The sequence below is a fragment of the Homo sapiens genome, chromosome 2 (genome assembly GCF_000001405.40).
Source record: "Homo sapiens chromosome 2, GRCh38.p14 Primary Assembly".
NCBI classification, from domain to species: Eukaryota; Metazoa; Chordata; class Mammalia; order Primates; family Hominidae; genus Homo; species Homo sapiens.
The window spans coordinates 156,666,495-156,694,450 of NC_000002.12; the positions used below are offsets into that span (position 1 = coordinate 156,666,495).

A 27,956-nucleotide genomic window follows, 5' to 3' on the forward strand; every position below is an offset into this window, starting at 1 on the left:
AACTAGCCAATCCTTAACCTGCTTATTTTACGTGGCCCATTTCTTCCTGTGAAAACCACACTAAAGGTTTTTGTTCATGCTTTCCCAGGGCTCCTTCTGCCTTGTGGCTGACCCTAGTGTTGCTCATGCAGCCCTGCATGCCATGGCATGCCATATGTCTGCTGTTTCTACAGATCTGTAAGTATAAAAACTTCTTCCTTCATTACAGTCGTTTAGAAACGCGTAGTGGTATCTTATTGTTTTTTAAATTTGCAAATTTCTAATGATATATAATGTTGAACATATTTTCATATGCTTATCTGCCATCTGTATATCTTTGGTGAAGTATCTGTTCAGATCTTTTGCCCATTTTTTAATTGGGTTGTTTGTTTGCTTGTTGTTGAGTTTTAAGTATTCTTTAGCTATTTTGATTATGAGTCCTTTATCAGATATGTGTTTTGCAAAGATTTTTTTCTCCCAGTCTGTGGCTTGTCTTTTCATTATCTAAACAATGTCTTTGGTGGAGCAGAAGGTTTTAATTTTAATGTTCAAGTTATCCATTTTTTTTCTTTCATGAATTGCACTTTTGGTATTACATCTGAAAAATCATTGCCAAACCCAAGGTCACCTAGAATTTTTTTTTCTCGTTTTATCTTCTAGGAGTTTTATAGTTTTGCATTTTGCTTCGGTTTTGCATTTGCATTTAGGTCTAAGACCCCTTTTAAGTTATTTTTGTGAGAGGTATAGGGTATGTATCCAGATTAATTTTTTGTATGTAGATGTCCAGTTGTTCCATTCCTGTTTGCTGAAAAGACCATCCTTTCTCCACTGTGTTCCTTTGCCAAAGATGAGTTGACAATATTTGTGTGGTATATTTCTGGGGTTTTTTTTTTTTTTTTTTTTTTTTTTTGAGATGGAGTCTCGCTCTGTCGCCTAGGCTGGAGTGCAGTGGCTTGATCTTGGCTCATTGCAACCTCTGCCTCCTGGGTTCAAGTGATTTTCCTGCCTTGGCCTCCCAAGGAGCTGGGACTGCAGGTGCCTGCCACCACACCCAGCTAATGTTTTGTATTTTTAGTAGAGATGGGGTTTCACCATGTTGGCCAGGCTGGTCTCGAACTTCTGACCTCAAGTGATCTGCCTGCCTTTGCCTCTCAAAATGCTGGGATTACAGGCTTGAGCCACTAGACCCGGCCCTATTTCTGGGTTCTTTATTCTGTTCCATTGCTCTGTTGACCAATTGGTCAATTGATCTATTTGTCTGTTCTTCTACCAGTACCACACTGTCTTATTCACTGTAGCTCTGTAGTAAGTCTTGAAGTTGGTTAGTGTCAACTCTCTGACTTTTTCTTCTTCATTATTATATTAGCAATTCTAGCTCTTTCATCTTTTGATAGGAACTCTAGAATCAATTTGTCAATGTACACAAAATAACTGTCTGGGATTTTGGTTGGGATGGCTTTGAATCTATAGTTCAAATTGTGAATAACTGACATTTAATAAATCTGAATCTTTCTATCTATGAACATGGACTATCTCTCAATTGATCAGATCTTTGGTTCTTTGTTTTTTCCAAAAATTTTTTTAGAGACAAGGTCTTGCTCTTTTGCCCAGGCTGGAGTGCATTGGTGCAATCATAGCTTACTGCAACCTCAAACTCCTGGGCTTAAGTGATCATCCCACCTCAGCCTCCCCAGCAGCTAGGATTACAGGCGTGCATCTCCATGCCTGGATAATGTTGAAATTTTGTGTAGAGATTGAGATCTTGCTATGTTGCCCAGGCTAGTTTTGAACTCCTAGCCTTAAGTGATCCTCCTGCCTCAGCCTCCTAAAATGCAGGGATTACAGATGTGAGCCACAGTGTTCAGCCATAGATATTTGAATTCTTTAATTAGAGTTTGTAGTTTTTTTCTGTATGACCTGGCACATATTTTATGAGATTTATACCCAAGTATTTCATTTTTGGTGTTGCTAATGTAAATGTTGTGCTTTAATTTTAATTCCCATTGCTCATTAATGATATATAGGAAAGTAAGTGACTCGTGTATTATTAACATCATGCCCTGAAACCTTACAACAATTGCTTATTTGTTTCAAGAGTTTTTTGGTCCAGTTTTTGGGGTTTTCTATGTAGACAATTTTGCCAACTTCACATCCCAAACTTTGTACCTTTTATTTTATTGTCTTGTCTTATTGCATTAGCAAGGACTTCTAGTATGATGTTGAGTAGGGGTGGTGAGAAGGGAAATCCTTGTCTTCATTCTGATCTTAGGGCCAAACTTGTAGTTTTTCACAATTAAATATGATGTCAGCTATGGGTGTTTTATAGATTTTTTTAATCAAGTTGAGGAAGTTCCCTTCTATCTCCTGTTTGTTGGGATATTTTCACATGAATAGGTCATGACTCTCTCGAATGTTTTTTTTCTTCGTCTATTGATATGATCGTATGATTTTTTGTTAGCCTGTTGGTGTGATGGATTACATTTAATTAATTTTTGAAATGTTGAACTAGCATTGCATACCTGGAATAAGTCACAACTGGATGTGTTGTATAATTCATTTTAAACATTGCTGGTTTCTGTCTGTTTTATACATATGTATATAAAATATAATTATATAATATGTATATAGTGTGTGAAATATATATATACAAATATATATTTGTATATGTTCATGAGAAACTTTAGTCTGTAATTTTCCTTTCTTGTATTGTCTTTGCCAATTTTTGACATTAGTGTAAGGCTGACCTCATAAAATGAGTCAGGAAGTGTTTCTTCTGCTTCTGTTTTCTGGAAGAGATTACAGAGTATTGGTATTATTTCTTTAAATGTTTGGTAGAACTTAACAGTGAAACCACCTGGGCTGGTGCTTTCTGTTAATTACTGATTCAAGTTTTTAAATAAACTGATAACTTGAATAGGCCTATGTGTATCTTTGTGTGAGTTTTGGTAGATTGTGTTTTTCAAGAAATTTGTCAGCCAGGCATGGTGGCTCATGCCTGTAATTTCAGTGATTTGGGAGACCAAGGCAGATGGAATGCTTGAGGCTAGAAGTTTAAGACCAGCTTGGGCAACATAGTGAGACCCTGTCTCTACAATTAAAAAAAAAATGAAATCTGTCCATTTCATCTAACTTATCAAACTTGTGGGCATAGACTTATCCATAATATTTATTTATTAAATTGTGGTAAAATATACATGAAATAAATTTACCATTCTAACTCTTTTATTTATTTATGTAGAGATAAGATCTCACCCTGTTGCCCAGGCTAAAGTGCAGTGGTGCAATCATGCCTCACTGCAGCCTTGAACTCCAGGACTCAAGAGAGCCTCCTGCATCAGCCCCCAAATAGCTGGGACCATAGGTGTGTGCTACCATGCCCAGCTAATTTTTAAATTTTTTGTAGAGAAGAGGTCTCACTATGTTGCCTAGGCTGGTCTTGAACTCCTGGGCTCAAGCAGTCCTCCCACCTCGGCTTCCCAAAGTGCTGGGATTACAGGCAAAAGCCACTGCACCTGGCCCTCTTTTTAATTTTTAGTTGTGGTAAAAAAACACATAAAATTGACTATCTTAAACATTTTTAAGTGCACAGTTCAGTAATGTTAAATATATTCACATTTTGTAAAACGATCCCTATCTTCCATCTCAAAAACTTTTTTCATCTTCCCAAATTGAAACTCTACACCCATTTAACAATAGTTCGCCATTGCCTTCTCCTCCGAGCTTTTGGCAACCATCATTTTACCTTCTGTCTCTGAATTTGACTGTTCTATTCACCTCATATATGTGGAATTATACAGTATTTGTCCTTTTATGACTCAGGCTTATTCACTTAGCATAATGTCTTCAAATTTAACCCACATTGTAGCATGTATCTGAATTTCATTCTGTTTTAAGGTTGAATAATATTCCATTGTATGTATATACCACAGTTTGTTTATTCATTTATCCACCAATGGGAACTTGGGTTGCTTCCACTTTTTGACTATTATGAATAATAGTCTATGAACAACAATATTCCTCTATGTCTACCTTTATGCCAGTATCACACTATTTTGATTACTGTAACTTTGAAATAAAGACACAACTTTCAACTTTGTTCTTTTACAAGATTGATTTGGCTATATGTGGTCCCTTGGAATTTGATATGAATTTTAGAATGCATTTTTTATTTCTGCAAAAATTCATTGGATGATCTATAGGGATTACATTCAATGTGTAGATTGCCTTTGGGAGTATTAACATCTTAACAATATCAACTCTTCCAACTTATTAATCACAGGATTTTTTTTTACAATTTATTAGTGTCTTCTCTAATATATTTAAGCAACATTTTGTATTTTTTACTATACAAATCTTTTGCCTCCTCAGTTATATTAATTCCTAAGTGTTTTTGTTGTTTTTGGCTGAGGGACATGCTATTGTAAATTGAATTATTTTCTTAATTTACTGTTTGGATTATTAATTGCTCATAGGTGGTTTTCTACAAAAAGTTCACAAGAAGGAATAAAAAAATTTAGCCTTGTTTAAAGATAGCATTGTTCAGAAGCAGACTGTGACTACATTACACCCCGACACAGGGTAGTGGGGAAGGGAAATTAGGCCTAGTGAATATCTCAAGTCCGGAATTAGAAGCAGTACTTCTAGTTGTCTCCTTTATTCTGGAGTAACATATCAGATGAGAAGTATGAATCTACACTGATCAATGGACAGTGGCTAACAATTTATAGAGGGTCAGGGACTTCAAGTGATTAAGATTATTGATGAAGAGGTTATTGTCCAGAAGGTGTAAAGGAGAAGTATGTAGCTGGCTTTTTGAGGAAGAAGGATGTTAATGCTCAGATAGAGAAGACTTGTTTTGTGAATGTTATTTAGCTTCTTTCTTATGATCCCTTAGTGCTTGCTTGAGCAAGGGTAAATAAAATAGCAAAAACGTAGGAATAAGAGGTTATGTATGTTGGATTAGTTAGAGTAGGTTAGACAGTGATAACAAGCAGATCTCAGATTTACAATGACCCAAACATAATAAAAATGTGTTTGTTGTGTTCATCACCATTCAAGACACATTTTTTTTTCTTGTAGGTAGGTGGCCCAGGCTCGTAAAAGACTTCCATGTTTACTAGAATGTCTGCTAACATTTTCTAGTGAATATGTAAAAGAATATGGTCGGGGCAGTCTATTGAAACAGCAACAGAATGCTATAGTTACCAAGCAAATAGAGAGAGAATTAAAATTTGCCTAGAGTCCTGCAAAAATTGTTATTCACTAGGAGTGACATGTTGGAAATTATTTCTGATATGTTTTGAGGCTTTTACTCTTCGTAAATATCCAGCCAATGTCTTTGGCATTTGAAAGTATTCCTAGAACCCTGAAAGGCTAATAATTATTGGTATAAGGGTGATTTGTTTACATGACCATCTTATCTGCTGGACTGTGTACTCCCCTAGGACAATGACCATTTTATTTGTCTTTGATTTCCAGTTTCTTAGATAGTGCCTACTAAAGCAAAGGTGCAATAAATTAGGTGAATCCACCCTAAGGGAATTTTGTATTCCTTTCAAAGAATGTGCATGGACGAAAGTAGCAAGTCATCAGACTGAGAAGGCTAGAACTAATATTGAAAACAGAATCCTGAAGTCTTTATTTCCATGCTGTCAACACATGCTATAGCAGCAGTTCTGCATTTGACTCGAGTTGAGTTAAATCTGGGCAGGGCATAGGAGACTGCTTCGTGATGAATATTTAATTCATGATAGAAAATCGCTTTAGTCTCTGGGTGAGGTGTATGAGGAGTAACATGAAAAACAATGAAAATAAATAAATCTATTTGGTATACTCATCTTTTCATAAGACGCAAAAAAAAAGCACTTTAAATCACAGTGCATGGGAAACTGCTAAAAAAGTAGAAAGAAAAAAGAGCTTACTATATGCATTAGGCAAATTCAATTTGCACATAAATTAGAAACTTGAGTAGCAACAACTCAAAGAGTGGTGAAGAAAAGCTACTGTATCAGCAGGTTTACAATCTAGCCAGTTTGGTATCTTGACTGAGTTATAAATAATGAAACCTCAATCTGTTCTTCAAATATATTTTATGAATAGTTTAGAATTTTTAGAGCACGCGTCATAGGTTCAGAAATAAAGTCTAATTAGCTAAAGGGAAATGTACTAGCATAAAAACATTCTGACTTCATAAAAATTTCTTCTGTGTGCTGATTAAAATGGGTCACGCTCACACCTAGAAAATGCTGCTAATTTTTAGAGATGTATTTAGTTTCGGGTTAAAGGTTTGTCATAAACTATGTAAGCCACTTGGAGAGAGACGTTTTCTTTTATGGCTTTCATATGACACGATCAATATTTTCTTAGTCCTTGTTTATTTGTCAGAAGTACAGACAGATAAGTCTTGCATTTTTCAAAAACAGATTCCAATTTCTTTTTTGATATTATTTCTGAAAGAAATCCTGTATAAAGTAAGATGTTTAAATTCCTATAGCTTATGAATGAAATCATAATTATCTTTTTAATCTTTTGATCTAGTAAGAAAACACACACAAACAAAAGCCCAAACTGATAATACAGCATTCAGAATTCAAATAAGGAAAGTAGTATAGAGATCAAACCACAGCAGGACAGAATGGCTTGGTATGGTTCTAAGGGAGTAGTAAATAGCATGAGTCACATTTTATTTCTCAGTGGAGTGTCTTTGATTTAGAAAGTGTGACTTCCTATGCTTAAGAAAATGCTAGAAGAGAATTACAATAATTTATGCCAGGCAAGATACAGAAAATTTCGATATGGTAGATATTGCTGGCTGTTCACCAATACATGTTTCCTCTTTTTCCTGGACCCAGAGCTAGACTACATTTCTAAGCCTGTCTTGCAGTTAGGTATGGGCGTGTGACTTCATTCTAACCAATGAACTGTGAGTGATAGCTCCAGGCAAGGCCCACAAAACTTCCTATATGGGCTCCTCCTCACTCTCTCCCCTTCTGCCTAGTGAATGGAGATGATGATAAGATATCTAGGAGAGCAGGGAGCCACAAGATGGAAAGATTATCAACTGAATCACCATGTAAAAGACAACTCCCTGCTGATAAAGAAGACGTCTGTCTCAAACTATTAGAGAGTGAGAAACAAATTTTATTGTGTTTGAGTCCATCTCTGTGTCTTTCTCTCCATGTATACATGTACATATTCTACTAGAATATATATATTCTAGTAGAATATGCATGTATGAATAGACACATAATAGAATATATATATATGTACATTTCGTAGAATAGTGGAATATACATATATATGCTGTTAGTTTCAGTATTAGTCTATACTAATATATCTGGTATATACAAGAATAATAATTTTCTTGTATCTTAATTTATTGGGAAATAGAAAGTAAAATAGTTAGGAAAAAAAACCTTATAGGTTGGGCTGTACCCATGTGCATTTTTATAAGGCAAACTCTGCAGGTTTCACTGGGAGTCCCTTACTTAATGCTTTATAAATACAAATTTTAGCCTTGGTCAGATAGGTGATAAAGTTTGGAGCACCGGAAGAATATATGCTCTGGAACACAGGGTGACTTAACAGTATGGTATCTAGATTTCTCAGTTGCTAGTCTCCTATTTTATTTCCTAAGATGTCCCGGTTTTGAGAGCTTTGGCCCTGTCCTAACTATAATTTAAAGACCCATTCAAAAAGCAACAAGGAAAATAGTTTCTCTTTTGTAGAAAACTCTTACACATCTCCATTTGTATGCAATGTTTTTGTTTTCATGTATTTTTTTTGATGCTGTCACTGATATGCTAATGATATGCTATTGCTATCTGGAATGCATTCAGCTACACACCACTGATTTCATTTTTGTGCAGAGAAGCAAAAACCTGAGACTTTAGTAATGATTATAATCTTCTGCTCAGTGAAGAAAGGCTGGGAGGCACAGATTTAGATACATGTATACAAAAAAAAAAGAGATGGTGATAATCTTATTAACCTTGAATTTTTCATCTCCTTTGAGTCTTCATGTTGCAGAGTGAGAATTCTGGCAGGTGGTGGCCAAATTTTAATTTTGTTGTTGATTTACTACAAACTCAATACTCTTTCAGGAAATAAGAGGGGGAAATCCTTATATGGAAACAAATCAGAAACTGAAATTTCAAAAGCAATTTTTAAAAATTAGTTTGCTGCTAAGCAAAATAGAAATTATTCTATTTCTTTTAATACTTGTTATAGAATTAAAACATATGACCATATGATGGAAATATACACACGTGCATGTGGGTTTATGTGTGTTTATGCATATTCTTCATTATTTAACATTTAATTTTTAAAACAATCCCCGAAGAAATGTTCATATTTTAGAAAAATGAGACACTATAGATATCCATGTGTTTCAGTAATTATCCCTAAAGAAGTAGTGGAAAATGTTTTATGTCAATTTAAGAAAATCTGGGCTGGGCACGGTAGCGCATACCTGTAATCCCAGCACTTTGGGAGGCCAAAGTGGGAAGATCACTTGAGCCCAGAAGATTGAGGCTACAGTGAGCTATGACTGCACCACTGTACTCCAGTCTGGGTGACAGAGTGAGACTCTGTCTCCAAAGAAAAGGAAAAAAAGAGACATTTAATAAGAGCCAACTAGGCACTGAGCTAGCTGATGGAGAAATAGGTATGAATTAGACAATTAGACATACTCCATGGCTTCAAAGAGAGGTTCCATTTGACAAGTCAGAAGTGAATGGTAATTTGCAAGACAGTTTCTACCTTACTTGGGACAAGTGATCCCTTTCTTAGGATTTTGCCTACACATCTGCTAAACTAAATATCAAATTTCCTTGTACTGAGAAGCTGCATAAGCCATAGCTTTGGAATCAGAAACTCGAGTTCAAATTCTTGATTTCAACACATACAGCTCTGTTTTGAACAACCTCTGTGTAGGTACATTACTTATCCCCCAATCTGCCTCAGGTTCCTCATCTGAAAATGTGTACAATAAGATAATCTAATATTATTATGAGTAAATAACTTAGCAAGTGCTATATTTATGGTAGGTAATCAAAAATAATAGTGCTTGAAGGAAGAAGGAATATAAGCAATTTTAGAGCATTGTGCAAATAACTGAGAAAATTAACTTGTTTTTAGTACAAATTATACATACTGCATTTTCAACATGTATAGTTTCACACTACTCATAGAACTCTTTTGAAGCCAAAGAGCTCACCTTTCTAGAGGAAGATGTTGAGTTTCAGATGGGTTAAGATATTTACTCAAGATTATTGAATCCGTAAGTAGCAGGAATTGATTGAGATTTTGATGCAAATATGTGTGATTCTACCGCACCTCACAGACTTCCTATAAAGTTAAATTGCTAACCAATGGTAAAGGTTTTTACCAGCAGTGAAAATATTCATACAAATAGGTCTTTGAAAAAACACAAATATAACGAACTATCCAAGTCAAGCTCAAAATTATCTCATCTTTAAACTTAGATTCCTTAAATGTCAGTTTCCACTTAGGAACCATTGTTGGGTATGTTCCCAGGCAAGCAGAACTGGAGAGCTAGAGTTGCTTTAAAAGTGTGTGCACGGCCCAACCTGTATTACTGTGTGGGATGGTCTTGAGTAGAGCCTTCCTCTAATCTTTGACAGGACATGTACCCTGAGGCAGACAGTATAAGCCACTATTCATGGTTTCTATTTGTACTTAAGTGTCTGGCTGAACAGTGACTGGGAGATAATAATCCAACTACCTACAGTTTATATGTGTGTTGCCGTGTGAGTCCTAGAGTAGAAGGAAGAGTAGCCCTGGGGTGGGGACTGGGGCTGTAAATTTGCCTTGGGAGAAATAATTTCCTTTGAGTGATGTCCACCAGCTTTACCCACACAGTTAGAAAATCTTATTTCTCTTTTTATCTCTCATTGTCCTTGCATTAAAATATTCCCTTTCCTAATCACCAATACCTCCACCATTTTATTTTGGACTGATAAAATTCCACTTACTCTTTCTATAAAAGAAAGCATTTCTGTCTTTAATTAAGGTGGTGAATTATTGCTTAAGGGGTGGTTTTCTGGTTGAGAAAAGGAGCTAACACTCAAATTATTAAGATATGGTAGTAATTGAACAGAGAATGATGTTTTAATTCCTTACTACTAGGTTTTATTAATACTTAAAGTCCTAAACATTTAATAGGGAAACAAGTCTACTGCCTACTCCTAAAATTCATTGAAATTCACAAAAACAAAGACTAGAGTACCTAACAATTGTCTAAAAGGGATTGTTAGATCTTTTCTAAAGGATATTTTGGGATCCTTAAACCACGAAAGTGGCTCTTATGTTTCACCAGGCAGCCTCTCACTAGTTATTTACCTCAAATTAGAGATTTCTTAAAATTCTTTGTAAAATTGTGCAGGTGCAGGTTGAGACAAGTGGCATTTAGCAATTTCACTGTGGAGCACATTTTCCAACACTAAAAATGATGGCAAATGTGTATACATAATGATTTTGAGCAGTTCTATCCAATTGAGCTTTCTGAGATGAAGGAAATATCCAATATGGTAGCCACTAGCCACATGCTGAGCACTTGAAATATAGCTAATGTGATTCTAATTTAATTTTAATTTTAATTCAATTTCAATTTAAATAGCTGGTGGTTTCTGTATTGGATAGTGCAGCTTTAGAGAGATCACTGACGTTGTTTTGTCATTGCTTTGTAGTGATTTAAAAAGATCATAAGATTGAGGTAATAGGCCTTAAACTCTAGGAGATTATGACAGCAGCCATTTCACCTGCAGCTTGTAGTACTTACTTTGAATATTTCTTTTTAGATTGAAACTTCTTAATAATTCCAAAGTAGAAAAGAATGTGTTCTTTGTTTAAATATGTCCATTTAAGAAAATTGTTGCTACCATTTTCTAGTTTATTTTAAATACTTTAGCCTATCATTCATTTCTTGTCAGGGATAAATTTGGTTTTAGATTTCTATCCAATGATGGGAAGTCATGCCTCACAGATCTGACAGGTTTCACATGAGAGCATGTTGACATATTTATTGGCTACAATGAGTATAATAAAATGGGCAAAATGAACAAAAGATAAGGTAGTTCATGCAGCATGTAGTCCCATTATTTTGCAATATAAAAAACCCTAATCTCATTGCAGATCAAAAAGCATTTCACAAATTCCCCAAACAAACATAAATAAGAGAAGAAACATAAAACTACATAACTCCATGAAATAATGTTCAGCAGCAGTGGGAAATGTAATGTTCAGATTAAGTCATTAGGTTGAACAGAATCAGTGCATGAAGAAGTCAAAAGTTATAAGAAACCCGCCATCTGCCTCTATTTAGAATTCGCTTATACACCTACATTGAGAGACTTGTCTGCCCATGAAGCTGCAAACTGCATGTGTCCTGGATGTAACAGAGACACAAGAAGCTGTATGTGAGAAATGTGCCAGTCCCACTGCTCTGAAGAAATTCCTGTCTCATAGGGAGATTGGACCTGAATCACTGTTGACTATGTGAAGTGAATAAAGGATGAAAAATCAAGGGAAACAAAGTTCTTTGAACTGGAGTAATCCATACACAGGTGTAGACCTATATCCAATAAAGTATTAAACAACAATAACCGATACACACATGCATACACATAACACACACACACACACACAGAACTGTAAAATGAAAACCAGTCTGTACTCAGATAAGTTTTTTAGACCTCCCTTAAGTGATAACTGAATCTAATGTTATAATCAAAAGAATAGAGAGGACAATGGTTTTACATATTTTATTCAGAAGTTTATTAGTTGATATCCCTCGATTAGACTTTTCTGAAGTCTCTTTTGAAGGTAGTTGGAAATAAACCATAAATGAGTGGAATAAATGAGAACATGTTCTTTGAAATAAAAATGGAAAGAAATATCTGAATAATTTTGGTCATAAGCTGTTTTTACTTCAACTTGCTAATCACTCATTTCTTTCATTAACATGCTGTGTACACAGCATAACTTACGTATATTAAAGTTACAGATAAGCCAGTGGATATGACTGTGGGAAGTAGCATCTTAATGTGGAAAACAATCTTATCTTTTATTTTTATTTCTGTTCCCTTGTAATTTTTATTTGACAGTGTTCCTTGATGAAAATTCTTTTTAGTGACTCCTGGTCACTAATTTTTTCAAACTTTTCATTCAAAAAGAAGAGTGCAGAAAACTGACCAGAAGCAATTACTTCATGAAGTATGCTTATTTCTGCGGTAAGCTGCAGGAAATAAAGCTAGAAAGCTTTTCCTTGAATCATTATTATTTTTATTGTGGTAAAAACCATATAACATAAATTTTATCATTTTAACAATTTTAAAGTGTACAAGGTGGGCCGGGCGCGGTGGCTTACGCCTGTAATCCCAGCACTTTGGGAGGCCGAGGTGGGTGGATCACGAGGTCAGGAGATCGGGACCATCCTGGCTAACACGGTGAAACCCCGTCTCTACTAACAATACCAAAAAAATTAGCCGGGCGCGGTGGTGGGCGCCTGTAGTCCCAGCTGAGGCAGGAGAATGGCGTGAACCCGGGAGGCGGAGCTTGCGGTGAGCTGAGATCGCACCACTGCACTCTAGCCTGGGCGACAGAGCGAGACTCCGTCTCAAAAAAAAAAAAAAAAAAAAAAAAAGTATACAAGGTGGTAGTGTTATGTATGTTTACATTGTTGTGCGACAGATCTCTAGAACTTTTTTATCTTGTGAAACTGAAACTCTATAGCCATTAAACTAATTTCTCCTTTCTTCTCCCCCAGTCCTTGGCAACCACCTTTCTACTTTCGGTCTCTATGATTTGGACTACTTTAGATAAGTGGTATAAGTGGAATCACATGGCGTTTGTCCTTCTGTGACTGGTTTATTTCACTTAGCATATGTCCTTAGGGTTCATTCATATTGTTGCGTATGACAGAATTTCCTTTTTAAAATGCTGCATAACACTCCATTGTGTATATACCACATTTTCTTTATCCATGTATCTGTTGATGGAGATTTGGTTTGCTTCCACTTTTAGCTATCGTGAATAAAGCTGCAATGAAGAGGGGTGTGCAAATATCTCTTTGAGATCCTGCTTTGAATTCTTTTGGATTCAAAATATATACCCAGAACTGAGATTGCTGGATACATGGTAATCCTATTTTAAATTTTTTGAGGAACCTCCAATCTGTAATTTCTATATAGCTGTACTATTTTACACTCCCACCAATAGTGCACAAGGGTTGTAATTTCTCCACATCTTCACCGGCACTTGTTATTTTCTGTTCCTTTGATAGTGTCAATTCTAATGGGTGTGAAGTGATACCTCATTGTGATTTTAGTTTGCATTTCTCTTATTATTAGTGATGCTGAGCATCTTTTTATAGGCTTATTGGCCATTTGCATGTCTTCTTTGGAGAATTGTCTATTCACGTCCTTAGCCCATTTTTAAATTGGGTGATTTGTTTTTTTTGTGGTTGAGTTGTAGAAGTTCCTTATATATTCTGGGTATTAACCCTATAACAAATACATGACTTGCAAATATTTTTTCGCATTCCATAGGTTGCTCTTTTTCTTCACTGATTGTTTCCTTTGATAGCTTTTAGTTTGATATAGTCCCATTTATCTGTTTTTTTTTTCTTTTACTGCCTGTGATTTTGTCATATGTGTCATATCCAAAAAATTATGTCACATCCAATGTCTTGAGACTCTCTATGTTTTGCTTTAGGAGTTTTGTAGCTTTTCGGCTTATATTTCACTCATTTTGAGTTAATTTTTGTGTATAATGTTAAGGGTCCGAAATAATTATTTTGCAAATGGATATCCAGTTTTTCCAATACTACTCGTCAAAGACACTGTCCTTTCCCCATTGTGTAGTGTTGGCATCCTTGTTGAATATCATTTGGCCATATATATAAGGGTTTGTTTCTGGCCTCTCTATTCTGTTCCATTGATCCAGATATTTGACTTTATGCCAGTATTACATCATCTGGATTACTGTTGCTTTGTTGTATGTTTTGAAATCAGGAAGGGTGAGGCCTCCACATTTTCCTTCTTTTCCAGATTGTTTTAGTTATTTGGGGTCCCTTAACAATCCATATGAATATTAGGAATTTTTTTTCTATTTTTACAAAAATTGTCATTGGGATTTTTATAGGGATTACATTGAAATTTTAGGTAGCTGTGGGTAGTATAGACATTTTAATAATATTAAATCTTGCAATCCATGAGCATGAGATTTACTTGTATCTTTTAAAATTTATTTTAGCAGTGTTTTATAGTTTTCAGTGTGTAATTTATATACTCCTTTGGTTAAATTCATTCCTAAGTTCTTTATCTTTTTTCATGCTATAGTAAATGGGATTGTTTTCTTTATTTCTTTTTAGGATTGACTCTCCTCCGATTTTTTTTTTTTTTTTTTTTTTTTAGAACAGAGTCTTGCCCTGTTGCCCAGGCTGTAGTACAGAGGCATGATCAGGTGGCCTTCACTTCCTAGGCTCAGGCAATCCTGGTGCCTTTGCCACCTGAGTGACTGAAACTACAGGCACAGGCCACCACACCTGGCTAATTTTTTTGATTTTTAGAAGAGATGAGGTCTTGCTATGTTGCCCAGGCTGTTCTTGAACTCCTGAGCTCAAGTGATCCTTCTGCTTCAGGTTCCAAAAGTGCTGTGATTACAGGCATGAGTCACCTTGCTCGGCCTTTGAATTCTTAAGTAGGCAACTTAATGTTCCAATATGAAAATAAGCAGCTGACCATCTTAAATTCTTCATTAACAAGGCAAGAAGTCAGAACAAAAGACATTATTTTATCACCAGTGCAGCTCCTTCAGTATTGGATATTCTGATTTAAATACAGGGAAAAGATTTTTAAAAATACTTCATAGTGTTTGCTATATACTGGAAGACAAACATGATTATTATCATTTTCAGTGAAAACTGCATTAGAAATCAAGAATCTGATTAAAAATTGTTTTTCATTATAACATGGTGAACATCACAGACCTTCTAGAAAATGATATACTGAATTAATCATGCCATATTAATAATAATTATTGATTAATATATATAATAGTGCAAAATATAATGTGTACTTTGCACTAATGCTGTATCTATTTATATAGAACTGTCATGTTATTTTTTTTCTGAATTTAAATGGTAAACTATCTTTAAAGGCATAAATTTCTGTCAGTGAAAACATCCTAAAATTTTATTCATTTGATGATCTACAGACCGTCACAGACTTACAGCGGTTTGGCTTAGATTTTTTTGACTTTATAATAGTATGAAAGTAATATGCATTTACTAAAAGCTATATTTCAAATTTGCAATTTTGATCTCTTCTTGGGCTAGCAATATGCCCAAGAGAGTAGCACAGTATGCTGTGATACTCTCTCTCATGCTGAGCAGCAGCAGTGGGCCGCTACTTCCAGTCTGCCACATGATCACAAGGATAAACAACAGATATATTCTACAGTGCGCTGTGTTGCCAGATGATTTTCTCCATCTGTAGGCTAATACAATTGTTCTAAGCACATTTAAGACAGGTAAGATGGAGCTATGACATTCGGTAGGTTAGATGTATTAAATGCTTTTTCAATGTAACAGTATTTTCAACTTATGGATTTATCAGGATGAACTCCACTGTAAGTTAAGGAGCATTTGTATATCTTTATTGCATCTCTACCACATGCTGCTGAAAAAGATAGACTAAATACCTGCTTCTAGCAGACCTTTTTGCTAGTGAAGGCAAAAACAGAGAACAAACCAGTAAACAAATTGTCTGAGTAAGACAACTTCAGATTATAAGTTCCATGACTGAAATATTGTAGGGGGATGGGATAAAAAGAGATTGCAGGAATGAGAAGTAATTGGTTTTGGTGGGGAGAAGCAGTTTTCCTGAAAAGAGAGCATTCTAGAGAAGATGGGAAGAAAAAAAAAAGAGACATAGTCATTTCAAGATTTGGGAACAGGATGCACCTGCACAAGGGAATGAATAAGAGTGCAAATCTCTAGCCATCAAAGACCTTGCACATTCAACACAAATGAATTTGGTGTCGCTGGAATTAAGCAAATAAAAAGAATGGTAGGAATTGAGACCAGAGTGATGCAGGGATCAGTTTCTGCAAGGCTCTGTAGACCATGGTGAGCAGTTTGAATTTAAGTATAATCAGAAGCCACTGGAGAGTTTTAGGCTTGTCTGTGGAAATGAAATGATATAAGCTGTATGGTCAAAAGAAAATATTGACTGTTGAACAGAGAATAAATGCAAGGACCAAGCATGGACATAGTTAGAACCGATGGTGGCTTTAATGAGGCTAGGCTTCTACTTTGAGTCCATAGATCTTACAAAGTGACAGGTTGTCCAAATAACGTGCAGTGAAATCAATGAATGAAAAAAGCAAGGAGCATATGTGATTACTGGACATATTAGTGCTTTACTAAATGAACTTCATGACTTCCCTTTGAGGTAAACTTTTGGATATTCCATTTGGAAGGTTATTTACAAATCATTATCAAACATGTTTTTACAGGAAGATAAGAGAAGGTAATTTCATTTAAAACAGACAAATTAAAAAGACTTATACTACTTTGTGGGTAGGGAGTTGTATTTTTCACCTGAAATGACAGAAAAAAATATTTTTACAGGAAACTTATTTAATTGAAGCTATTGTTAGGCACTGCAAATGTGTTTGGTTCATGCGACAGTTCCCAGGAATTTATACATGGGTTCAGATTGTTGTTCAGGCACCAGAAAATAAACCTCCAAGCTATTTACTGCCTCCATGATATATAAAGTTTGCAGCTTTGATTTTGTGTGATTATGTTCAGCAATGGTGACCTTTAGAGGCAACAATATTGAAGTGTAATGAGGAGATGTTTGATCACTGGTATACAATGAAGAGTTGGTGCTACTTCCCCATTTCTTCCTGGAATTTGTGAAATTCAACTGACAGGCTTTAACCTTTAGACTGCTGAAGTTATAAAATGTATAGGGATTTAGGCTGTTTATACAACACGTTAGATATATGAAATTTTTAGACAGTGTAGCTTCCTTTATCATCTAGTAAAATGATTTTGTATATTTAATAATAACAGTCACTGGTAACCATGACAAGCTGCACTCGGGTATATCATGAAGTATATGAAGTGTAGGTTGATGAAAATAGGAGTGGGGGCCATCATGTAAAATAAATAGACAGCGGGCATTCTCCCCAGACCAGGCGTTTTCAAAATAGATGGATAATGCTCCTCTACTTCTGTTTCCTTTCCATCCAGCGTAGCAGAGAAGCTAGTAAGAGATGACTTATGGGCCCTGCTTGCTAAAAATGTCCTTGAACTCAAGAATGTTTTAAATAAAGGAAAGGTTAAGAGTGAGGTGCTAATGGATTAGAGGCTGTGATTACCAGCCTCTTTTAGAGGTATAATTGTTGATGGGAATGTTGGTGAGGGAGAAGGAAACCAATGAGAACAGAAGTTCAGGATCTGTGGCCCCACTGTTGTCTGAGTGATTCGTAGTAGTGTAAGATCCCCCAAATAAATTATTCCTAGTTCTTTTTTATAAATGATTTTACTAAATTGCTGATTTCTTGGCTTGGCTGGAAGCAATAAGGACTAATTGATAAAGCATACAGCTTTTCCTAATTAACTATAGGATTTTGATTCTCTAGGTAAGAATTTATAGAGTACAGTCCTCTATCGGTATCTGTGGAGGATTGGTTCCAGGACCTCCCTCAGATACCAAAATCTGAAGATACTCACTCAAGTGCTGCCTGATATAAAATGGTGTAGTATTTGCATATAACTTAACTTACATTCTCCTGTATACATAAACTCATCTCTAGATTACTTATAATACCTAATATAATGTAAATGCTATGTAAATAGTTGTTGTACTCTATTGTTCAGAGAATAATGACAAGAAAAAAGTCTGTACACATTCAGTATAGACACAATTTTATTTAGAATATCTTCTATTTGTGGTTGGTTGAATCCACCAATGCAGAACCCACAGATATTGGGGGCGGGGGGCGGCAACTGTGTAGAACAGTGTGTCTCATTTCCAAATAAGCTTATGATTACAAGCATATGTATTAGTGATAGGAATTTAATCTGTAGGGGGAAATAATTTACCTTAGGTATTAGTTTAAAAACATATATATAAAAGAAATAGAGAATTAAATACAGAACCTATTTGTGGGCACTCATGTAAATAAATTTCCACCAAAATGGAATGTTCATGCCTCTTGCCTAGTTGATAATACCATGGCAATAAAATACATTTATTAAATGCCAAGTTACATTTGGAGATTCCAGAGATGAGTCAACAAGCGTGGTCACTGGCTTCTATGACCTTGTTCTTTTTAAGACAAGTTCTAATCTTATTTCTTTCCGTACCCCTAGTTTTTTGTTTTGTTTTTTTTTTACACAGAATCTGGAAGATAGACACCAAGTAAATTTATACCGAATGAATAAAGGAATGATTGAAGATTAAGCTTACCAAAGAAAAATTAAATGTCTTAACAAATAACATGATTAAAGAATTGATGTTTTGTATTCCATATAGAAAAAAGGGGACAATGTGAATAATGTAGCATATTTCCTAAAGAAAATCAAGTTCATTGAATGTTTACAAAAGCTGGAGCCAAGTAGATTGAAACGTAGTTCAGTTGGGTCAGCAAATGTTTGCAAACATTTGGAATTCAAGGGTGCGAAATTCAAAGCGTAGTTAGAAGAAAGACGTGGTGATATGTAAACTTAAGGTGTTTTCTTTGAGCATTTTGCATATCTTTGTATTCAAGTCCTTTTAAACGGCATAGGTTTTTGGAGTCCCATATAAAGTAAAAGAATTCATCTGCCCAATCTTGAGCTGTTTTTCCATATATTTCCAATATTAGTATCAGACAACAGTAATCGCTGATATTTAGAATGTAACTGTTTCTGAGAGTAGTCATTCCTATCTTCTCCTGAGAGACCTGAGAATCAACTGGTGAGAAAGAGCCTCAAAAATTGTCTTGCACAGTTTCCCCATGATTCTAGGCAGAATATATTCCACCCATCAGGAAAATGGCTGGTTATCTTATGGTGATGAATATCTTATAGTCTTACCTACACTACAAAATCATGTGAGGCTTTCCTTCTCTGTCTCTGGTTATACACCCACTGTGTATTACTGTCTGTGAGGACATTACAAACTGTGCTGTGAGGACAGGACCAATCAGGCTCTCTATACGTGCTTAAGCAGTTAGGGTTGAAGGGGTAGTGAGTGAGTAGAGCTCCCCTTGACTTTCTTTGGATAGAGAAGTTCTACTTGATAAGATTGCATGTGACAAAAGACCTCTGGTGCTAAAATAAAAGTTGGAACCTATGAGTACATAACGAAATACCCATTTTGTTCAGTTTGGAGGCTAAGAGGTATATGCAGAAGTTTTTTTGTTTTTTGTTTTGTTTTGTTTTTGAGGTGGAGTTTCACTCTTGTTGCCCAGACTGGAGTGCAATGTCATGATCTCGGCTCACTGCAACCTCTGCCTCCTGGGTTCAAACGATTTTCCTATCTCAGTCTCCTGAGTAGCTGGGATTACAGACGCATGCCAGCATGCCTAGCTAATTTTTGTATTTTTAGTAGACACAGGGTTTCATCATATTGGTTAGGCTGGTCTCGAACTCCTGACCTCAGGTGATCTGCCCTCCTCGGCCTCCCAAAGTGCTGGGATTACAGGTGTGAGCCACCACGCACGGCCTGCAGAGGTATTTTTTTACAGACTACTTTCCATAGCCTAGTTTTCTTTCAACTGGAATTCCTATTAAATTTCAAGTACTACTTTAAATATGAAATATTTTGAAAGTTCAGAGGATATAGCAACAGCAAGGTGAGGATGGTATATAATTTGGAGGACCCTCTTAAGAAATATAATACAGAACTATGAATACTAAATTCCCAGGGCCTCTGCCAGATCCTTGGAAAGGGCACAATGTAACTGAGGGGTCTGAATCTTCATTAGCTTCATAGGAAAGTCTACTTTGAATTAGACATGTGGAAAGAAAGGGTGTTAATATCAGTGAATGCTTTTTAACGTGCATTTCATTTATGAAAGTTCCAGGAAACCAGAAGGACAGTTGTGCAAAAGCAACCAGATTTAAATTATTTTTTAAAGCTGAAGATTAGAAGAAGACATTTACTAAAAATGAGTTATAGTTTTAAATGACCACAAGTTACGAAGTCTTAGTTACTTAAGTAATTACATAAAAGAGATGAGGAAATATTGAAATGGCATTGAATAATAGTGAGAACAGGAGCAGATCTAAGAGTTGTGTGGTATGACTACATTATGAAGCCTGACTCAAGGTGTGATAGGATTAGAATTCACCGAAGTAAGGGCAGGCAAAAGGGATTCTGAAACCTACTCCATGACTCTCCAACATGATGCAAGTGTTACATTCAGTGTCTTTAGAACTTCAATTTCTGAGCCTTTTATACTATTACTAGAAATTATTTTAAAAATTCAGATTTTTTCTTATCTAAATGAGATAAAACCTAAAATTGTTGAGTTACATTGTAACCATTTTAGAGCCCAGGGTGGTTAATTTTATTTATAATTATGGTTGGTGAAATAATCTTATTCTTTTATTATTTTAAATTAATATTCATTGAGTACTTAGTATGTACCAGACACTTTACATACATGATTTTATTTCATCCTCACATTAGCTAATGAGATAGGTTATTTTATCATTTCCCATTGTAGATAAGGGGACTGAGGAATTTCAATGTTGAATATTTGCCCAAGGTCACCAGGCTTGAGTGTGGTGGTGAAGGAATTTTTACTTAGGCTGTCTGACTTTAATGCTTGTATTCTTAGCTATGATGCCACATTACTAACAAGGCATTTATTAATAAATAATGTATTTGCTTGAGCTGCCATAACAAAATACTACACTGGTTGGCTCAAACAACAGAAATTTATTTGCATCCAGTTTGGGAGACTGGAAGTCCAAGATCAAGATGCCATCAGGGCTGGTATCTGGTGGGTGCTTTTCCCTTGGGTCCAAGATGGCTGCCTTCTCACTGTGTGCTCACGTGGTATTCTTTGTGCAAGGAGAGAGAGCAAGTGAGTTCTCTGGTGTCTCTTCTTACAAGGACGCTAATCCTATTGAATCAGGGCCCTACCCTTATGACCTCATTTAATCTTAATTACTTCCTTAGAGACCCCATCTCCAACTATAGTCACACTGAGAGTTAGGGCTTCAATATGTGAATCTTGAGAAGGATACAATAGTTCAGTCCATAACCCATAACTCTCCTTGCTTTTCACAATAGAGTTATTTTTCAAGTTAATTATGTCTTGGTCTATTGCGTAAGAATGACCATTTACACACTACTTTTTTCCTCTGACTCACATGGAGGCTGCTTCTAACTTCCATCCAACCCTTCCCTTGAGAGAGCATCTCCACTGCCCAGGCACTGGGCCCCACCTGCTGACTGCTGGGGAGACTATGACCATGTGATCTTCTCAACCAGTCCCAGCTCCTTGTATCTTTCTCTGCATGGAGCACTAGGAGACCTGGAGCCTGAAGGACACTCTTTTCACCTATTTTCTTTTATCTTTCACTTCTTGCAGTTTTGATATTTTTACTTCAGATAATGGTTCTGTTATGTACTCAACACTGTAACTCATTTTCTCCTTTGCTGTGCTCTTGTTGTCTACTTGGCTTTTTTTTTTTTAATACCTTAAGTTCTAGGGTACATGTGCACAATGTGCAGGTTTGTTACATATGTATACTTGTGCCATGTTGGTGTGCTGCACCCATTAACTCGTCATTTACATTACGTATATCTCCTAATGCTTTCCCTCCCCGCTTCCCCCACCCCACAACAGGCCCCAATGTGTGATGTTCCTCTTCCTGTGTCCAAGTGTTCTCATTGTTCAAGTCCCACCTGTGAGTGAGAATATGCAGTGTTTGGTTTTTTGTTCTTGTGGTAGTTTGCTGAGAATGATGGTTTCCAGCTTCATCCATGTCCCTACAAAGAACATGAACTCATCCTTTTTTATGGCTGCATAGTATTCCATGGTGTATATGTGCCACATTTTCTTAATCCAGTCTATCATTGATGGACATTTGGGTTGGTTCCAAGTCTTTGTGGTTCTTTTTTTTTTTTTTTTTTTTTTGAGGGAGCCTCACTCATTGCCCAGGCTGCAGTGCAGTGCACTGCAACCTCTGCCGCCCAAGTTCAAGTGATTCTCCTGCCGCAGCCTCCCAATTAGCTGGGATTACAGACACCTGCCACCATGCCCAGCTAATTTTTGTATTTTTAGTAGAGGTAGGGTTTCACCATTTTGGCCAGGCTGGTCTTGAACTCCTGACCTCGTGATCCACCCACCTTGGCCTCTCAAAGTGCTGGGATTACAGACGTGAGCCACTGCGACTGGCCAGCTGTTGTGTTTTTTAAGAAAAAAATATTTCCCATGTTCATTTTACCTGTGAATTGTAAAACAAGCAAAACAAATCAAAACAGAATAAAACTCTGCTACTAATCATGATGGACAAAGGAATGGGCTTTACTAAGGATAAGCCTGCTTCAAGGAAAAATAAAACCTTAGATTTAAATAAAAATCTTAAAATGAGAATGACTCAGGATTCCACTTCATAGACTCAGTGGCATTTCCGGTAGTTTTCAAGTTACCAGCAAAGGTTGCTATTATTGGAGATGCCAACTCAGCAAGCACAAAGGTAGGATCCAAGGTCCTGAGATTTTGGGACCATGAGCAAGTCATATAAATGGTGGTAGTTTCACTTGTTTGTCTATTAAATGAGAAGGTTGAACTAAATGACTGAAGGTCCCTCTGGGTTTAAAACCTAATGTTATTCAGTGAAGTAGACCTCACACCAGGCTTTCTTGCTGCATGCTTTCTCTCCTCTACCATGTTCATTTTTGTAAGGGAAAATTTTGGAGGTAAATGTTATAGTTGCCCCAGGAAGCCCTGGCTTCAAAGGCTGGGAGTGGGGCAAATGAAGAGGGAATGAAGCTGAAAACCTCAACACTTTCTCCCAATCCCCGCAGAACATCTTGGCCTTGCTGCCCTTCATTTGCCTTTTGAAACAGTCTCCTTTCTTTTCTCCTGTGAAACTAAACATCTTGGTTCTGTTTGAGCATTCTCTCTCCTTTCTCAAGGGCTCATCTTCCTTCCCTTGCCCCTGAAAAGAGGAAATTCCCCAGAGCTCTATCCTTAGGTTTATGTTTTCTCTCTGCATACTCGTGCACTAAACTTGGTGCATTCACATCCTCAAGTGAGAGCACTAATGTGAGATTTTAACTAGTGGGCTGATGTTAATCTCTGCCCATTGACTCCCCTCCCAGTCACCAAACCCTTAAACCCAAACAGCCTTCCTAAAGCTCAGCCCTCTTCCCCTTCATGTCTTTACATCCAGCCAGGTAGCAAATTCTGTCATTTTAACTCTGAAATGCCATTTAAATCTCTTGCTCCTTATCCTAACTCTTATTAAGTCAAAGGAACCTCATAAGTACTGTGCAAAATCTTTCTGAATAACGGGTGACCATCAGGAGAATCTCCTCAAAACTGCCATGATCACATGAGTCCCCTTCTCATGAGCTGTCAGTGTTCTCTGACCCCTGCTCCTAAGTACAGCTTTACACATGGCTTTGAAGGCTAACCACAACCTGACTCCAAACTAGCTTTTTAGAGGCCCATCTTGCACTTCTCTCTCACTCCACCCAACCACTTCTTTACCCAGCAACACAGACTCTGTGCCATGCCTCAGACAAGCCTACTCTTTTCCTACCAGGGGTCATTTATGCTATTCCCTGCACTCAGAACAACCTTCACTTGTTCATCAAAATTCAGCTCAAATCACATTTTCTTCTTAGATATGCTTCAACTACTCAATTTCCAAATATTCTCTCATCTTTTGAATTTTCTATAGCTCTTAACATTTTTTCCCAATCAAGAGAGTAATTTTATATCCAGTGCAGAATATCTAGAAATTAGAGAAAATCAGTGGAAACACCATGAACTTTTAAAAAGAAAATACTGCTGACATTTGGATATGTATGTAGTTTCAGTATTTTCCTATGTGTATTTTTATGCAAAAGTAATATAATATGTATTCTAATTTTTAATCAGCTCTAATTACTTTTATATATATTTGGAACTTCTTTCTTATAAAAGATGTTCTTTAACAATATGATATTTAGGAACCCATTAGCCTTTAAAAATTCTCTTACAGTCAACATTTACAACATTCTACTTTGGACTCTGATTTGGTGGTTCCAGGTCTATTTTCGGTACTTAAGTTTAATTTTTTTTTTTTTATGTTAGAAACCATACAACAAGGTATCCCAAATACTACCTGGACTGTCTCAGTCCCAGAGAGAGAATATACAGGAGTGTTCACCCTTGTGATCAACAAATAAACATAACCATCCTTTAAAAAATCAAAGTCTTTAGAAAAGTTACCAGCATGGATCTGCCTACCAGGTGCCTTGCTCCTCTCTCTAGCATAAATATTTTGGCCACCATATTATCCTAAGTCTTCCTCCTATAACTTTCCAAGTTCAGAATTTTTATAGCATTAACATGACATGGCAGAAAGCCAGGATATAAACAGAATCTCCTGACAAAAATGAAAACAAAATTATAATTAGTTGGATAAGGATTTTCTTTCATATTTAGACATATTAGCTTCTTTTAAACCATTAGAGTTGCACAATAGTTATATAATAACTAGGACAAAAACTGAAACTTCATTCACTTTATGTTTTGGTTTAAGCCAATTTAAAACTATATTGCTTAATTTCTGCTTTAAAAAACCAGTATATTAGAGGAAAAAGCTTACCTATGTGTATGAAGGCTAAGTTAAATATTGCAATGTGCTCCCTAATATTGCTGATTTCCACCACTGGTAAGGGCTACTTCGTGTTTATCAGCTGAGATTTTACATTTTTGTGGTATACTATTTTAAGGCAGGAAAAAAGTTCTTTTCGTTGTGACAGTTACTTCTCTCCTTTAACTGAGATACCTTGTTCAACTGAAGTGATCTTAAATGAGGTGGGCTTTATTATGAGAACTTTAAATTCGTGTCACATAAAATTTAATGAAGTATGAAATTTTAAGCATTTTATATTTTCATATTTTTAAAACAGTGAAAGACTTACCTACTCAGCTTACTTTTTGAAAGAAAATACCAAATCTTCCATATTTGATGGGTATTATTTTACCAAATTTCAAGTCACACAACTCCTCGAAATATTAAAACATCTTTACGTTTAGTTAGCAAAAATGTAATTGGTACATTTTTGAGGAGCTCGGCCTTTAATGGATAGATTTTTCTCAAATTCCCCAAATTATCTTCAAACTCCGAGGCATTTAAGAAAAGAGAAGCAAAACAGCATTAGAAGAACTGCGTGGAAATCAAGATACATCTATTTCAAAGTACTCCAGTAGAATATTTGACATTGTCATTTCCTAGAGCCGTCCAGTTGACACTATTTTTCACCAAATTAGGAAAAAAGATTTAAGATGCATTTGTTTGTCGTTGTGATTTATCTATTCTACTAATTCAACAAACACTTATTGCATATTCATTAAGAGCTAGGTATTATATTAATTTCCGGGAATATATAACTGAGAACCAGATATACACAGCTCATCATCACTGAACTTGCAAAAGACAGACATAGATGTTACTTGTGCCATTAAAAGGAAACAGCTGTAGTCTAGTTTGGACTGCCTACATAGAGAGAAAACAATGGGCTTAGGTGTTTTGAAGGAAAAGTTCTGATTCCATTATTATTTTCATTCCACCTCAAGCAAATTCTCAAAAATGATATAAAAAGAGACCAATATTACTTGTCTAAAATTTTTCTACCTTTACAGATTTGTTGGACCTCTGGATAAGCTTTATACTTTTTTTCTGTTTTTCTTCACATTTCATGGTATTTGGTATCAAATTTAGCAAATAAAAATGACAAATTATTCTGACTCTGTCACTTACTTATATGAAGTAAATAAGGTTTAATTAGGTGATATGACTTGCTCAGGTCATCTGATTTTGATTAATAGTAGCAGAGGCCAGTGTTAACCAGTTTAGTTGAAGCCAAACCATGGTTCGAAAGTTAGTACTATTTGATACTTCTGGGGTCACTGTTTTCCTTCAACCTTTCAGGAGTCAAGATCTGCCATTCCTTCTTGAAGTTATTGGAAATGTAGACTATCACCTCATTTATCTTTTGCATCATTATTGCTTCTTTGTTCATCTTGTATTTGTCTTCTTTTGCTTCAAGAAAGAGCCCAACTTTTTCTTGATCTGGTAGCCATCTGATATCAAAGTTTGTTCAGTCACATCATCCCCCAGCTATTTCAATCATGAAATCCTGTTCGTTTGGAAAAAAGGTGACAGAATATATTAAAAATAGACCTAAAGATAAATCTATTTAGTGCTCTTAATAGTTAGCTAATTAGAGAAAGTAATCCTCAGGCATTTGAAATAGGGTAATAGTTTTCCTAGGATATTAATTTGTAGAAATTGAGATCCTTCTTTTATATATATCAACAAAAGATGTAAACATATTTCTTTACATAGATTAAATGCTTTTGGATTTATATAGTGTATTTGATTAAGAAGGGAAATCTAACCATGACATAGTAGTTATCTTATGTAAATTCTTCTAAATCATTTTCAGGGCTTAAAAAAATCTAAGCAAAGATGGTACTTCATGGGTAAGTTGTCTCTCATCAGAAAAGTAAGTGAAAGGTCTAAAAGAAAGAATACTTATTTTTTCTCCATTTAGAGAGAAGATGTATTAATTATGACTTTCACAGGCCAATTATTGTATCCTTGGTCTTTTTAGTTGATCTCCATTACCACTTGAAATTCCCCATGTCCAATAAAAAGAACAATAAGTAGTGTGCTTAAATGCAGACATGATTCACCTGCTATAACTGTTCTTTATTATTTTATTGACAAATGTTTAAATGAAACTACAACAGACTGAATGTTTATGCCCACCTCTCCAAATTCTTATGTTGAAATTCCAGCCCCCAGGGTGATGGTATTAGGAGGTGGGGGTTTTGGTAGGTAATTAGGTCATGACAGCAGAGCTCATTCATTACAAAAGAGGCCCCAGAGAGTTCACTGGGCCCCTCCACCATGTGAGAGCACAGAGAAAAGACAGTTATCTATTAACTAGGAAGTGGAGTCCTCACCAGTCATGGAATTTTCTGGAGTCTTGATTTTGGACTTTCCAGGCTCCAGAATTGCAAGAAATAAATTTTTGTTGTTTATAAACCACATGGTTTATGTTATTTTGTTATAGCAGACAATGGACTAAGATGAAAACACTAAATTATTATTCTATGTTCGGGGATTATTGCCAAACCTAATGCTATCATTCATATATAACATTTCTAACACTAGAGTGGTGAGACTTACTTTTGGCTTCTAATAGTATCTCTGTAAAAACCAAGAAAAAACAACAACAACAACACTGATTTCTTCTCTTTCACTTTTTCCAGACCCAAGATATTACCTTATTCTGCAAACAAGGACTTTAAGCACAAAGAAGGAAATCATAGTAGAAGTTTCAACTGTCAACTTCTGCTTAGGATATCCTTAATAAAACCTTCATGTCGAGATTTGTGAAACAACTGACGAAATCACTGGCCTGAAGTTGCAAACAAAGTATTAATCAAGGCAGCCCCACTGTGGCTTAATAATATCAATGACAGACACTTCTTGGCAATCAAGGATCCTCTGATGATCATCTAATCAAACAGCACTGATTCTATCACACTATGGCTTTGGTTGAGCTTAACAGAGAAGAGGATTCATCCATAACCAAACAGGTTCAACAGAACCTTGAAAATCAAAGGAAAGTGCAAAAGAAAGTGGTTCTAACTTTGAATTGTGGCATCAAGGAACAGTAAATAAAATAAATTGAATAACAACTTCTGCA

At 35.9% G+C, this 27,956-nt stretch overlaps 1 long non-coding RNA gene across 1 annotated transcript; it reads left to right on the forward strand.

Annotated features, from left to right (window-relative positions):
- The first annotated feature begins 105 nt into the window (after positions 1 to 105).
- Positions 106 to 27,956, forward strand: LINC01958 (long intergenic non-protein coding RNA 1958). The gene is made up of 3 exons (XR_923506.2): positions 106 to 177; positions 26,685 to 26,721; positions 27,517 to 27,956. It is a non-coding gene; the product is annotated as a long intergenic non-protein coding RNA 1958 (long non-coding RNA).